General features: G+C 49.4%; 1 annotated feature.

Annotated features, from left to right (window-relative positions):
* Nucleotides 3,587-3,776: a silencer, noted in NCBI's record as "silent region_1174". NCBI's record gives its function as "represses an Ori minimal core promoter by ATAC-STARR-seq in GM12878 lymphoblastoid cells {active_cell/tissue: GM12878}" and the evidence as "EXISTENCE:reporter gene assay evidence [ECO:0000049][PMID:35858748]".

Raw genomic sequence — 15,897 nt, forward strand, 5'->3', positions numbered from 1 at the left:
TTCCCCCACCTCCCCACCTGCCTAACACCACCACTCACTAACAAGGAGCTGTGCTCCGAAGCTTGTGGACAGCTGTGTCATGGAGGAGCTGCCGTGCTCTGTCCAGAGGGCTGTCTCTTGAGCACAGAGACTGAGCCTTCCCCACCTCTCTAGCCTCTAGTCCCAAGCACAGCCTGCCCCCTGGTAGCCCCTAGGAAATTTCCACCAAATGCATGCAAGGTCTTGCAGCTGCCCCACAGCTTGACATCCCACTTCCTCCTGAGCCTCCTCCTCCACTGTCTTCTATCCTCTGCTCAAAGCCCTTAACCGATGCCCCGGTTTTTCAAGGGCAGCTTCTTCAGTGTTGTTTGTTCATTCACTCAACTAACAAGGGCTGACCATGCATCGGCCTTGAGGGACTGAGGAACAAAGGTGCTCACACTCTGATGGGAGGCACACGGAAGCAGTGGCAATAAAATCTGTAAAGTCTTCTGTGAGAAGTTAAAGAGAAAATGCTAGAGGATCCCAGAGGAGGAAGCTACTGCTGACTGTGTGGTGGCTCCTCCCCAGCCTCGTACCCTGACTCTCACTCTTCAGCCTGCCCCAGTTCCCCTCTAAGCTACACCTTCTCCAGGAAATCGCAGCACACCCATGGCATCCACCTTTCCACTGAAGACTCCTGAGTATTCAGCCCCAACCTCTCTCTGAGGATTAGAGAAGTTAGGTAACCTGGCCAAGGCCACACAGCTAGGGGCAGCAGGGATGGCGCTCTCCTAGGACCATGCTGCACTCCTCCAAATCTGCTCCTTGCTCCCCTCCCATCCATCTCCACCTTCTTTGCCCTGCTGTGTGTCCTGGGAGGCTGATCTGTGAGGATGTCTTGGTGGCTGCCTTCGGTGGATTTGGCTAGTAACCCTCAGAGGAGTGGAGGAAAGGAGGAACATGAAACCGGGGAATTAACTCCTCTGTCATGCTCCCAGCAAGACCACCTAGGTTGGCTGTCCCTTGGCAGAAGGGGATCCTCTCAAGGGAGCTTCTCTACAAGACCCTCTCCTTCTGGTCCAGGTAGCTGTTCTCCTCCTGGTCTTCTGGCTGGGTGATGGGAGAAGCTCCTTCACTCCACTGCTACTGGCTCTAGGTTACTGCATTAGTCCTGCCTTTATCCGACACCACGCTCACACCTTTGTGAAAACACCCTCTGTGCATTATCCTAGTTTGAGTGGCTCCCTCTTTCCTGCGGGCCCGGGGCTGATGCATGCTCCTTCTGCATGTCCTGGATTGGCGAATAGCATCAATATCTGTACAGCTCTCCAGGCCCCAACCTTAACCGTCTCCTATTCTTCTTTCTCTCTCATCCTACTCTAGGACCTGAAAGCCTCTGAAGTTCACTCCTTCGGCCCCACTCCCTTCCTGCTGCCTTTGGGCTCTCCTCATGTGACTCTGCCTGTTGAAACTGTCTGCTAGCTGGCCCAGCATCTCCAGGCATGGCCTCACTCATCCACCTCTCCCTTGCTGAAGGTCTCCTCATGTAACACACGATTCCTTTAGATGGTCCTTCATCACCAGCAAGATGAAACCTAAATTCATTGGCATGGTAGACAAAACTCTAGCCTTGCCTCCCAGAGGCCAGTCTCTGTCTCCGCCACTCCCCAGGTGGACTGCATTGTGTTTCTGCTGCCATAAACATAATTTATTCTGACTGGAACATCTTCTGTGCATGTCTGCAGAGTGCACTTCACTCCCCCTGCAGTTCAAGCATCCTTCCTCCACAAAGCCTTTTCTTTTGATCACTGCAGGACCTGTAAAAGCTATCCTGGGATAGCCTGTATTTACTGGACTGAAATGATCTGTTTGCCTATCAATTTCCCCAAATGATATATGGCAAGGAGTAGTTGAATCTAAGAGCAGATCTCAAAGCCTATGTCCTTTCCATTGCCTTGTACCCTGCTCCCCTCAAGAATACCTATTTTTTGGGGTTGGTGGGAGGATCATGTGAGATAATGCATGGGCAGTGCCTGGCACACAGTAAGTGCTCAATAAATACTGTTATAAATGGGCGACCAGGCTGGGAGCTCCTCGCCTTATCTCTTTCCTGTGTATCTCTCAGTCCTTCGAATCTCCTGCCTCCTCTACCCAGAGTATGTTTCTGGGGGTTACAAATTTTTGAGGCTCCCGGTTAGAGATGAAGATCCCATTAGCGAAGATTGAATATCGGACTAGCTGTCAGGAAGCTCAGCTTGTTAGGTCAGGAAGGGAAGGGAAGGGAAGGGGAAAGGGAGAAAGAAAGAAAGAAAGAAAGAGAGAAAGAAAGAAAGAAAGAGAAAGAAGGGAAGGAAGGAAGGGGAAAGGAAGGAAGGAAATATATATATATATATATATATATATATATTTTTTTTTTTTTTCCCTGAGATAGAGTCTTGCTCTGTCACCCAGGCTGGAGTGCAGTGGCATGATCTCGGCTCACTGCAACCTCAGACTCCCGGGTTCAAGTGATTCTTGTGCCTCAGTCTCCCCCTGAGTAGCTGGGATTACAGGCGTGCACCAACACACCCGGCTAATTTTTATATTTTTAGTAGAGACAGGGTTTCATCATGTTGGTCAGGCTGGTCTCGAATTCCTAACCTCAAGTGATTCACCCGCTTCAGCCTCCCCAAGTGCTGGGATTACAGGCGTGAGCCACCGCGCCTGGCCCGGAGAGAAAAATGTTATAGGCAGGTGTGTGTGTGCGTGATTGTGTCCAAGTGCTAAGGACGTGCTATTCATGGGGTGCAGGAAGATGGATCTTGCTTCTCCAGTAGTCTTGTCTACCTGCAGGTCTCATCAGGCCATATCTCCAAACTTCTACTTGCTTTGGAAATCTCACATGGAACCTTCCCAGGATCAGGAAAAAAAAAAAATTAAGTAGAGTACCTTAATTCTATGACTCTACTTGACTAGCACTGAGAGATCTTGACCACTTAAAACATTCATTTATTTCCCACATACCTGGCAAAATTCTGTTTTGCCACAGGCCCTGCTGCCGTGCAAGGTTTTGTTACATGGCGGTGGAATTTCACTATTAGGGGAATCCCCTACAGTTCAACCTGTAGAAGCAGAAGGAAGGAGCAGATATCCAGTCATGTGGGGGTACATGGGATTATAGGGCTTCTCCTCCTAGCCTAGTGGGATAGAGTTGATAAAAAGGACAACTGTTATCTACCCCATCTCCTCCCTCTCCACCCTAATGGAGGAAGAAGCTTCCTGAGAGAAGCTACTTCCTGAGCTCAGCCTTGCTTCTCTCTTCTGGAGAGTCACCCCCTCAGAGGGCCATGTTGCCCTCTCTGAGCATTTGCCAGGCTGAGCTGGGCTGGGTGGAAGGAGTGGATATAATGCCTGCCTGCCTGCCTTCTTACTATCTGCACAAGCATTGGCCTCTGAGTGAAACCCAGAGTCTCTGCTTTGGATGCTGGGGACCTGGGCATCTTTGTCCCCTTGTGTCTCCTCCTGGCGCTGGCCAGGGGCCTACAAAGTGCACTTGGCACCAACTAGTCCAAGTCCTTGGTGAACTTGTCATTTTCCTTAGTTCTCTCCATCCTCCTGGCCCTTTTAGGGACCTGTCACAGTGCCTGCTGAGAGTGATTGCCCAACAGAAGCTCCTCCTGCACTCTCAGCCCACAGTGGGGGCAGGGGCAGGCCGAAAGGCTGGAGAGTGAGAGAAAGCCACCTGCTGGGAGGTTCTGGCTTTGTTGCTGCCACTGACTCAGCCCCAGGCCTTTCCCCGTGTGACCAGCCCATCAGACTCACACCCCTGAGCTAACCTGCACCCAGGCCTTCCTGGCAGTACAGACTCACGCTCAGGACAGTGTTTCATGCCTGTCTTTCTAAGGAGTTTCTGTAGGATTTCAACATGTGATCTCCCTGCCCTGCTGCCCTCAGAGCTACTCATGTGACTCTGTTTCCTTCTTTTCAGTCTTTTAAAATTGTGGTGAAATGCGAATAACTTAGAATTTACTATTTTAACCATTTTTGAGTGTACGATTCAGTGGCATTAAGTATTTTCCTTTCTTTTCGCTCCTGGCAGCCTTATCAATAAAGCGGTGGTCCTGTCTGTTTCCCCCCAGGCCACAGGGTGGGTGTCGGGGGTCAACTTGGATGCCCAATATCTCCCATTTGGATGAAAAGTTTCTATTCTGACAACCACCCATCTGAAAAATGTAAACTTCCATGGAATCTGCCTTCCTTCAGCAGGCAGCTAATGGGAGGCTTTTTAAATTAAGAAATTAGAGTGAGTTGGCTGGTCACAGTGGCTCACAATTGTAATTCCAGCACTTCGGGAGGTCGAGGCAGGCAGATCACTTGAGGTCAGGAGTTCGAGACGAGCCTGGCCAACGTGGTGAAAACCCGTCTTTCCTAAAAATACAAAAATTAGCTGGGTGTGGGGGCATGCACCTGTAATCCCAGCTACTCAGGAGGCTGAGGTTTGAGAATCGCTTGAACCCGAGAGGTGGAGGTGCCACTGCACTCCAGCCTGGGCAACAGAGCAAGACTCCATCTAAAAAAAAGAAAGAAAAAAAAATAGAGTGAGTTGGTCCTGATTTCACTTACTCCTACTTTTACCAGCCTATGTGAGGAAGGAAAGAGCACTGGATCCAGAGCTTAGAACACCTTAAAGGCTGCTGGCTTCTGTGGGGCTGGCACCACTGGGGAGAGGGACTCCAGTCAGCTGGTGAAGGGCTTGGGTCCCTGGCTGCTTGGAATGGGAACTTGTCTGATCTTTCCCCAGAAGCTTGCATTTGTTTGGGATAGAGCCAATGTGCTGTCTTCGGGCAGGAGCCTGCCTCTTGATGTACTGTGTTTGTATCAGAATGCTTCTGGGTACAAGAGATAGAGAGCCTGGCTTAAATTCAATTAACATGTGGTCAAATCAAGGATCCAGGTTCTTTCATCTTTCTGCTCTGTCATCCTCAGCATTGGCTTTTTTCCTAAGACTGGTTACTCTGATGGTCCCGACTCTCCAACTACCGATGGTGGAAGGAGAAGGGCTCCATGATTGCTTGATTCACCCAGCTGTAGAAAGAAAGAAACCACTCTCCCAAGCATAGACTTTATGGCCTTCCCTTCTGACTAATCAGGCCAGCGTAGTTCACCTGTACACCCCTGGATCATCCGCAGTTACAGGTGAACAATGTGGTGGGTTGACTGTTCAAGATGCAGTGCTAGTGCTGGGAATATGGTCAGCTTCCCCTGAAGCACAGCTTCTAAGTACCCTGGGGAATTGCATTACCTGTAGGAGAGGTACACACTGAGCAAAACTTGGTTTCTGTTAGAGGAAAAGACTTGGGGAGTGGTCCCCTACAGCAATGTTTTTCAAACTGTGGATTGAGATCCATTAGTGGGTCATGAAATCAGTTTAGATCACAGCTTATGGGGCAAATTCAGCCTTTATTTATTTGTATGAATAAAGTTTCATTGGAACACCGCTACCCCCACTCGTTTCCTATTGTCAATGGCAGCTTTCCCACTACAATGGCAGAGTTAATTTAATTACTTGGGACAGAGATCATATAGTCATCAAAGCCTAAAATATTTACTCTCAGGCCTTTTGCAGAAAATATTTGCTGATCCCTGGTTTAGCGAGTTGCAACCAGTACTAAAAGATGAAACAGATTAGACTAGAATAGAAAATATATCAGAGTGCATTGCCTGTGATAGGGATAAGTATTATTTCATAAACCCTTGATTTTAGTTTTATATAAACATAAATTCGTGCTTGTGGGTGCTGGGCTCTAGTTTATTTCTTATGGTGGGTCATAGTCAAATAGTTAGAAAAATTGCACTAGAGCACCACTCATTTTTTGCCGTGGAAATAGCTACTTAAGAAGGCCTATTTGTAATAGTGCTGCCCTTTGGGTTACATGTGATCTCTGTACCTAAAAGGTCAGGTGCTGGGGAAGATGCCTTGAATTAACAAAGGGCCATGAAACAATTTTGGGGGGTGACCTGGGAGCACTGAGTGAGCAACAGTATAGGATGAGCAGGGATCTGGCCAGGAGGAAGCTGGACCAGCCGCGCTCAGACTTGAAGAGACTGTGCTGGAAGATCTAAGCCTTTGTTGCTTCTAACATTCTGTGATTTTCAGAGGGGCGTTCACCCCATTCTGTGGGTGGAAAATCAAGGCCAGAGGAGACCACACACAGAAAACTCAGGGGCAGGACTAGTGGCTTTGGCCCTTTGGTGGCTTTCTGCCTGCCGTCCCCTGACTGAGTTTTCTTTGGCCCACGCTCCAACTATGCCTGGAGAGAAGCTAGACCAGATGGAGACTAGCTGGGAGCATTGACTCCTGGGTTCTCCTCTCCTGAGAACTCTGATCTTGCCAGCACAAAGGGGAAGACATCTTCTCTGACTCCTTCAGGGAAGGGAGTCCCGCCGACCACAGCTTTCCACGTTTCTGGGCCTCTGGCTTTTAGCAATTGCCCTCCTTTCCCGCCAACTCTGGCATCTTCCTGCCTGTGTGGGAGTCACTAGCGTGCAAGGAGGCTGAAGGGCCTTGATTGTCTGTGAGAGCCTCTGCCATTAGTAAGGCAGTCGTGGAATGTTTATGGCCTCTGCCACTTCAAAGACATTGCTGGGCTCCCATCTAGGGGATGGCTTTGACATTTATAGGAGGGTCAGCGAGCTAATAAACCAGAGAGGTTTCTAGTGCCTGAGGGATCCTCTTACAAGAAGAAATTTATTTCACATAGGAATGTCCAGAAATTTATTGGAAATATCCAGCCAAGTGCGCATACTAACTAACCCCATGCTTCATTTTGATGAGACCTTATGTCCTTGGACAGGAGGCCCTGTAAGGCAGCTTCAGACAACGGGCTCCACCTCAGCAGGAGCAGCTGGGAGCCTGGGCTCTTCTTTCTGAAACTGCCTTCAGAGTTGGATGGAAGAAGGGCAATTGCCAAAAACCTGGCTGAATCTGTGCTCAGGTGGAATTTTCTATCTCAGCTGCTGCTGAAATCAAAGATGAGCTCAGGCACTGGTCTTCCAAGATGTCAAAGCACAAGTCCTTTCAGAAAGTGAACTCACGTGGACCCCAACTATGTGAAATTGCTGCATTTGGAGCTGCTCTGTCCCAGTGGTGTGGGCAGCTTTCTGCTGGACTCTTCTAGCCACAGGGAGGATACCCTTCCTCCCAGGATAGCCCCCAAGGCACTGTGTCTGAAAGCCCCTTATTTTGAAGAGAAGAAAAATAAAGTCCTAAAATGTTGAGGTGACATCTTAGCTTGGGTTCCCCACAAAACAGAGCCAGAGGCAAAGGCTTGGGTGCCAGTAGTTTATCTGAAGGTGATTCCAGAAAATAGAAGAAAGAGTGGGGGGAAAGAAGCAAGGAAAGAAGGAATGCTGAGAAATAATGTGTTCTCCAGATTGCAGGCTGGATTCTTCCATAGCCCCCAGAGAAGAGGTCTAAGGCCCTCTGAGTTGGAGCATTCACCCACTGGTTCCTACTCCCTCTGGTTGAGGGTTCCTCCAGTGGGGAGGGATTAACTTCCTGTACTTGCAGGCTGTGCTGATGAGTGGGTTGAGCTCCTGCAGTAGAGAGGCCGTGGGCATCACATGGGAAAAAACGGTTTTCCAGGTTGACCCTGTTAGCACAAGGTGAATGTCAGGCCTCTGAGCCCAAGCTAAGCCATCATATCCCCTGTGACCTGCACGTATACATCCAGATGGCCTGAAGTAACTGAAGAATCACAAAAGAAGTGAAAATGGCCCGATCCTGCCTTAACTTATGACATTCCACCACAAAAGAAGCGAAAATGGCCGGTCCCTGCCTTAACTGATGACATTACCTTGTGAAATTCCTTCTCCTGGCTCATCCTGGCTCAAAAGCTCCCCCACTGAGCACCTTATGGCCCCAGCCCCTGCCACCAGAGAACAACCCCCTTTGACTATAATTTTCCACTATCCACCCAAATCTTATAAAACGGCCCCACCCCTATCTCCCTTCGCTGACTCTTTTCGGACTCAGCCCACCTGCACCCAGGTGAAATAAACAGCCTTGTTGCTCACACAAAGCCTGTTTGGTGGTCTCTTCACTGATGCGAGTGAAAGTGAATCTGAGCTCACATGGAATTTTCTATCTCAGCTGTTCCTGAAACCAAAGATGGGCCCAGGGGACATGATGTTGTGGGGCACCAGGGGAACCTGCTATCAGGAACCCTTGGGGTCCAGAAAGTCCATGAGCTGGGCCTAGGATGCCAGCGATCCACAGGCAAGAGTAACATATGAGATGTATACTTATGCATGTGGGTATACATGATCGCACCTGGGCATAGAAACACACACACACACACACACACACACACACACACACACACACTCATTCATTTGAATCTTAGCATTTGGAAGGATTGTGGAAATAAACGAAGACCAAATGAGACAAGCAAAAGCTACTTGGCCCAAGCTTGCTATAGCAAGGGAGACCGCCACCCTCACTTGCGTATTGATGAGACCTAAAGGCAGGCAGAGGAGTGGGAAAGGTTTACAGTGGGAAAAAGGGAAGGCTTCAGGTGTTTCCTGATTGGGGGCTGCTGGCCTGGGGAAGCTGTAGGCAGGCTCACTAGAAGCGGGGCATCCTATGTGATTGGTAGGGGGTGCATATTTAGCTTTCTCTGGTTTGTCCTGAGTTGGAAGTGGGGACAAAAATTAGCGGGGGCGGGTGCTGTTGGTTATTAATCAAGTCCTGGCCATTTGGGGCTGATTGTTTACAGCGGTTATTTTTTGGTTTTCTGGATTACTGTGAGAGATAGCAGCATGATTTGTTGCAAGTCTGACTTATGGTAGCCGGGCTTCCTGGATTGTTTATGGTAGATAAGGGGTTGGTTTCCTGGACTTGCTGCTGCAGATTGTAGGTGCAATCCCTGTTTTTAGATATGGTCTGGCTGTTGTCCATTTGTATACTCAGTCTCTTAGGATCTTAAAGGGTACTAAGGAGAAAAATCCCCTCCATATCCTCCCTGACAGAGGGTCAGCTGTAAGGCCTATTTCTGAACATATTTAGCAATGAGAAGCTCATTGCTTCCATAGCAGCCAATTCCCTTGTCTGCTGGGATATTCTTCCTTATACTGGGCTAAAATCTTCTTCCCTGTACCTTCCACACTTTGATCCTATTTTGCCTTTTGGGGCAACACAACTCTCTCATATGTGAGAGGCAGTGCGGCACAGCAGTCAGAAGTGTGAGCATCTAGAGTTAGATTTGGGGTCAGGTTTTAGCCCTGTGACTTACTATCTGTGTGACTTTGGGCCATCATGGAGCCTTCGTTTCCTCAGCTGGAGTAGTGGTGGGGTAGTGATGTCTACTCAGGACATCAGACAATGCACGTAGACTGCCCAGTAATGGATCACTGCAGTGGAAGGTTGCCATCATGGCTGCTTTTTCAGGCTAGGCATCTGCAATTCGTTCACTTCTTCTTCCTCATAAGCTTGGTTGCCATTTCAAGACCTACCCTAAAACAGCGCACCCACTCTCTGGCTCTGGAACTCGGCCTGCAGTGGACCAGAGAGAGAGTGCAGTCCTGGGACTGTGCCTTATAGGGTGATGTATGGTTTGGCTCTGTGTCCCCACCCAAATCTCATCTTGAATTGTAATAATTCCCACGTGTCAAGTGCGGGACCCAGTGGGAGGTAATTGAATCATGGGAGTGGTTTCCCCCATGCTGCTTTTGTGATAGTGAGTGAGTTCTCATGAGATCTGATGGTTTTATAAGTGTCTGGTATTTCCCCTGCTGGCACTCATTCTCTCTCCTGCCACCCTGTGAAGAAGTGATTTCTGCCATGATTGTAAGTTTCCTGAGACTTCCCCAGCCATGCGGAACTGTGAGTCAATTAAATCTCTTTTCTTTATAAATTACACATTCTTGGGTATTTCCTTATAGTAATGTGAGAATGGACTAATACATAGGGTTAGAGTGTTTGGAAGCTGACAGGTGACAGGGTGGTGGGAGGTGGAAATTGAGGGCTGCTGGGGAAGAAGATGATCAGAAGATTAGCAGGCTGGACTTTCTGGTGTGTGGGTGGGGGGACCTAAGGCTGGTAAGGCAGGTGGGATAGGACATTGTCCTGTTAAGTTTCCAACCTAACCCCCAAACTCAGCCTTGGGCTCCAAGTTTGGGAACGCAGGCTAAGAGAGAAGGGCCCCAAGCTTTCTTCTGGGCGGGGCCTTTTGCGAAAAGCTCCAGCAGGTCCAGACTGTTAAGGCTGCCTCTGGGCTCAGGGCCCCCATGCTGCCTTTCCCTCCTGTGCACCAGATTCCCCCAAATATGAACCTTCAGGGAGACCCCATCCCAAGGACAGAGCAGGGGGCTGAGACTGGAGAGCATTAACAAACCTGGTGTGGGGGCCGGTGGGAGAAGCCCCAGAGTAGGAGGGGAAGGTGGGATGGGATGGGCATCATGGCAGGATGGTAGAAGGAGACGGTGGAGCTTATTAATGTCTCTTGTGGCCAGGGGCAGTGGCTCACACCTGCAATTCCAGCACTTTGGGAGGCTGAGGTGGGTGGATCTCTTGAGGCCAGGAGTTCAAGACCAGCCTGGCCAACATGGAGAAACCCCGTCCTCTACCCAAAATACAAAAAATTAGCTGGGTGTGGTGGCACACTCCTGTAATCCCAGCTGCTTGGCAGGCTTAGGCACAAGAATCACTTGAACCTGGGAGGTGGGGGTTGCAGTGAGCCCAGATTGCGTCACTGCATTCCAGCCTTGGTGATAGAGCAAGACTCTGTCTAAAAAAGAAAAAGGCCTCTCGTGCCTTTTTTCCAGTCCTTCTTGACTGGTCAGCCAACTCGACAGCTCAGCTCCTAAGTGAGCCCCCATCCTGTGCCTAAGGCTGACCAGGCATGAGGAAGTGCAAACACTGCTTACCCTGAGATCCTGCTGCTGCACCTCCTTTCCTAGGCTCTGCCAAGTTATCATGGAATGTTCTTAAACAATAGTCCCAGCCCTGTGGCCTGAGAAGATGGTTCTGTTAGAACAACTCTCCTTTTCACCTTTCCAGCTAAATGATGAGGGCTCCAATGGGGCTGAAGAGCAATGTCCCATCATGAAAGATATCCCAGTCCACAGGCGTGTTAGCCCACCCTCTCTCCTTCGGTTCCCTTAAAAATCTGGGAGGTGAGGCAGGTCCTGAAGATAGAGACTGGAAGGAGTGAGGGAATCCAGCTGATCTCAGTGGCAGAGCTGGGACTCAAACCCAGGCTTCTTCATTCCAGGCCTCCTCCTCCTGGGCCATAGCTGGGTGGAGTTTGGGTTCTGCCAGTGTCTAGCTATGTGACTTAGGCACTTTCATGACTTCTGGGTTCAGGTTCCTTCTGGGTTCAGGAACTTATGGGTTCAGGTTCCTTCTCCGTGTGGTGAGGGGGTAGAAACAGACCAGACTGCCTTGGGATGAAACCTTGAGGGTGAAAATGCCAAGTCCTGCCCTAGCAGCGGGCAGGAGAGAGAGCTGTGGAGAGAAAGCCCTTTCCCCTCTGTGGCTGGCTTCTCCCTGGCCTCCTGGGTCAGCCTGAGCCATCTCCCCTCTGGGCAGTGAAGCGGTTTTTACCCTGCCTGTGGCTCTCAGTTTCTTTGTAGACTCCTTAGGCATTGTGACTGGGGAGCTTAGTCAAAATAACCAAATGCCACAGGGCCCCAGAGGAAGAAGTGTTCTAGCATTTCTTAGGACATGTTAAGAAACAAACACACACAATCTGTAAATTCTGGGTGTGTCTTTAAAGGAAGCCAAGATAAAGTGGCTCTGGCCTTAAGCAGTGCCACTGGGAGACCTGAAGGGAGTGACTCCTTGCTTCTGGTCCCCTGGGTCTAGTCCCTCTAAACAGCTGGGGTGAGGGAGGGACAGTGTATCATTCAGATTTTGCTCTTCAGGGAGGCCTTCTCTGCAGTGATTACTTAAGGAAACAGGGTTTTATTGTGGTGCTGGCTGGCCAGGGCCTGGTTTTCTTGGTCCCAGGTCCACATCATACCTGATAGAAGGATAATGTGGGAAGAGGGGCAGATATGCTGTGAGTGCCAGTGCTGGTTCCCACAGCTGCTGGAACAAGTTGCCACAAACTTAGTGGCTTTAAACAACAGACATTTATTTTTTCATAGGTTGAGAGGCCAGAAGTCTGAAATCAAGGCATTAGTAGGGCCACATTGTCTCTGAAATCTCTAGGGAAGAATCTTTCCTTGCCTATTCGAGTTCCTGGTGGTGGCTGGTGTTCCTTGGCGTGCAGCAGCACAATTCCAATCGTTGCCTCTGCTCCCCATGGCCTTCTCCTCTTCTCTCTCTTATAGGAATATTTGCCATTGGACTTAGGACTCGCTTCTGTAATACTGGATGATCCCATGTCAGGATCCTTAAACTAATTACATCTGCAAAGAGCTTTTTCCCAAATATGGTCATATTCACAGGTTGGAGTGCGAGAGAGACATATCTTTTTGGAACCACCATTCAACCCACTAGTGTGTCTAAGCACTCCGAGAGTTCTGTCATGTACTCGTAATACACCTGAGAGGAGGGTATTATTCCCATGTTTCAGAAGATAAAACTGAGGCTCAGAGAGGTGAGATAACTTGTACCAGTTCATATCATCAGTGAGTGGCTGGACTAGGATGGAAACTGAGGGCTTCACCACCCAGGCAAGAGGGCAGGGGCCAGCCTGTGGAAAGATATGGAAGAATGCAAGCTCGGCCCACGGAAGAGCTGTGAGCAGCTTCATCCTGCTGCAGTGGTGAGTGTGTGAGGGTGGGAATGATGGGAGAGGAGGCTGAAGGAGAGCAGGGCAGGTCTTTTAAGACCTTTGACCCAGGCTAAGGAGTTTGGGCTTGACCTGGGGATACAGAGGATCCTTGGAGACTTCGGAGCTCTCAGAGATGAAGAGCAGACCTCTGGGTTGCATGGAAGATGGATTGCAGAGAGGTAAACCTAGAGAGAAGGGCCTGTCAGGAGGATGGGAAGAACAGCACCAGTGCAGATGGAAAGGGAAGGAAGAGTCTGAAGTTAAGGGGAGGTCCAAGTGACAGGATTAAATGACCAATGAATTCAGATAAATTTAGGAATCTAGGAAGTTCCCAGGTTCAACTCCTGAGTGTATTGTGGTGCCTCTCACAACGCTGGAAGGATGTGGCAGTGGGCAGCCATGGTTTGTAGCTGCCCAAGATCCTTGGACACTTTCCTTGTACTCAGGTCTGAGTCAGTTATCTCCCAGTGCGCTTGCAGAGGTGCAGGTGTGCGCACTGGGCTGTGTGATCGGACAGCCCACATGAGCCTTTCACAGGAAAGAAGCAACTCGTAGAAAGGGCTCTGCAGGGGCCTGGACGTCAGCAGATGATGGCAGAGGAAGCTGAACGGAGAGCTGGGCCAGGTCTCATCAGCAGAGGAGCTGCCTTTGGGAGACGCCTTCCTTGTTAGGCAATTCTGTGGTTGGTTCTGGACATTGTTCTTGGACACTCAGCTGCATCCTGCTTCTCAAGACACCCAACAACTCAACGAGCTACTTAACAGTCTTCATTAAATTCCATTTCTGCTGAAGCCAGCCAGGCTGGACTCTGTTATTTACAACTAAGAACCCTGAACAATATAAGTGGGTTTAGCAGCGAGGATGAAAAGGAGGTGAAAGGACAGGGGCATGCTGAATGTGAGGTGCCAGTGGGGTATCGATGTGGTGATGTCCAAGGGGCTATTGGCTCTATGGGCCAGGAGCATGGGGTGGCCTGTGCTGGGAACACTGGTGTGAGATCATGAATGTGTAGGTGGCTGTGAGGCCTATTTGGGACGGGTGCGGAGGGACGGGAGAGCATCGAGTGTGGAACCTCAGTGAACAGCTTCGTTTAAGAGATAGCAAGAAGCAGGGGAGACTTAGAAGGAGACTGAGATGGGAGGATCTAGACAAAATGGTGTCATGAAAAGTAAGACAGGAATTCAAAGAAAGAGTAGTGCCTCGGTCAAAAAGGCACAGAAGGGCAAGGGAGATGAGGAGTGAAAAAACGATGCCTTGCGTTTGACATTTAAAAGGCTAAGGATGGGCCAGGCAAGATGGCTCATGCCTATAGTCTCAGCATTTTGGGAGGCTGAGGTGGGCAGAATGCTTGAGCCCAGGAGTTCAAGTCCAGCCTGGGCAACATGGCGAAACACCATCTCTATGAAAAATACAAAAATTAGCCAGGCGTGGTGGTGTGCACCTGTAGTCCCAGCTACTGAGGTGGGAGGATCCCTTAAGCCTCAGACATTGAAGCTGGAGTGAGCCATGATCACACCACTGTACTCCAGCCTGGGTGACAAGGCAAGACCTTGTCTCAAAAAAAAAAAAAAAAAAAAAAGAAAAGAAAAGAAAAGAAAAACAGTAGAAGGATAAAGGTGACTTGGAGAAAGCAGTTCCGCTGGCACAATGGGAACAGGAGCGAGACTGGAGTGGGCTGAGGAGGGTGTGGGAGAAGAGGAAATGCAGAGCTCTCCTACCACTGACTGTGTCAGGAAGAAGAGGGGCAGGCAGGAGTGAAAGGAGAGGCGCGTACTGCGCTTATGGGCTGAGCCAGGAGCCACTGTGGCCGAGAGGTAGCGGTGTGGTCTGTGTGGGGATGACTAGGGGAGATGCCAGGGTTGACAGCTTGTTTATCCTTAGGTACTAGATAGTCTGACACTGTCGTTATGATATCTTTTCTTGAATGACATCTTCTAGTTGTAGAATAAAAAAGTCTTGCAATCATTTGAAACCCAGTTAAAGGGATCACTTGAGTGAGGATGCCATTTAATGAAATTGTTATTTTTAATTAAAAAAATGGAGATAGGGTCTTGTTCAGTTGCCCAGGATGGTCTTGAACTCCTGGGCTCAAGCGATCCTCCTGCCCTGGACTCTCAAAGTGCTGGGATAACAGGTGTCAGTCACTGCACCCAGCCGAGGATACCAGTTTTAAGGACTACTGGGCACCTAGGCCTTGTTTTTTAAAATCCAGAGTTCTGAAGATGAGAGTGTATGGGGCGCAGGTTATCTATGGGTTAAGGAAACTCAGAGACCTGGGAGGGAGTCTACCTGGATGCAGACCAGGGGCCAATGTTTCCCGTGATCCCTCCATGCAGATATAGCCTCTGCCATGTCTGAATGTTGGAGTGCCCCCAGAATTCATATGCTGCAACCTAATCTCTCATGCAATAGTATTAAGAGGTAGGGGCTTTGGGGAGGTGATTAAGTCATGACAGGGAGCCCTCAGAAATGGGATTAGTTTCCTTATAAAAGAAGCTGGAGGGAGCTTGTTTGCCCCTTCCACCGTGGGAGGACACAGCAACAAAGCGTCCTCTAGGAAGCAGAGAATGAGCCCTCACCACACACGGAATCTGCCAGCATCTTGATCTTGGACTCCCCAGCCTCCAGAGCAATACATTTCTGTTGTTTATAAATTACCCAGTCTGAAGTATTTTATTATGACAGCACAAGCAGCCTAAGACACTCCCCAGGTCCCTGTTATTCTCTGGACCCCGACACTGTACTCTTCTCTTTCTTTCTTTTTTTTTTTGTTTGAGACGGAGTCTCACTCTGTCGCCCAGGCTGGAGTGCAGTGGCACGATCTCAGCTCACCGCAAGCTCCACCTCCCGGATTCACACCATTCTCCTGCCTCAGCCTCCCGAGTAGCTGGAACTACAGGTGCCCGCCACCACGCCCGGCTAATTTTTTTGTATTTTTAGTAGAGACGGGGTTTCACCATGTTAGCCAGGATGGTACTCTTCTCTTTCTATTTTGTTTTCTTCTTCTTTTTTCTCCTTGTTCTTCTCTTCCTCCTCCTCTTCCAATTCTTCTTAGATTTGTCCAGTTTAAATTCAGGCTTTCAGCTGGCCTGAATTTATGACCCTGCACTGTACTAAGCTGCATCTTTCCTTTGCTCCGAGTCTCCAGAGTTTACCCCCGGAGTTCTTGGCTATT

This window comes from Homo sapiens, chromosome 1 (genome assembly GCF_000001405.40).
Source record: "Homo sapiens chromosome 1, GRCh38.p14 Primary Assembly".
NCBI classification, from domain to species: domain Eukaryota; kingdom Metazoa; phylum Chordata; class Mammalia; order Primates; family Hominidae; genus Homo; species Homo sapiens.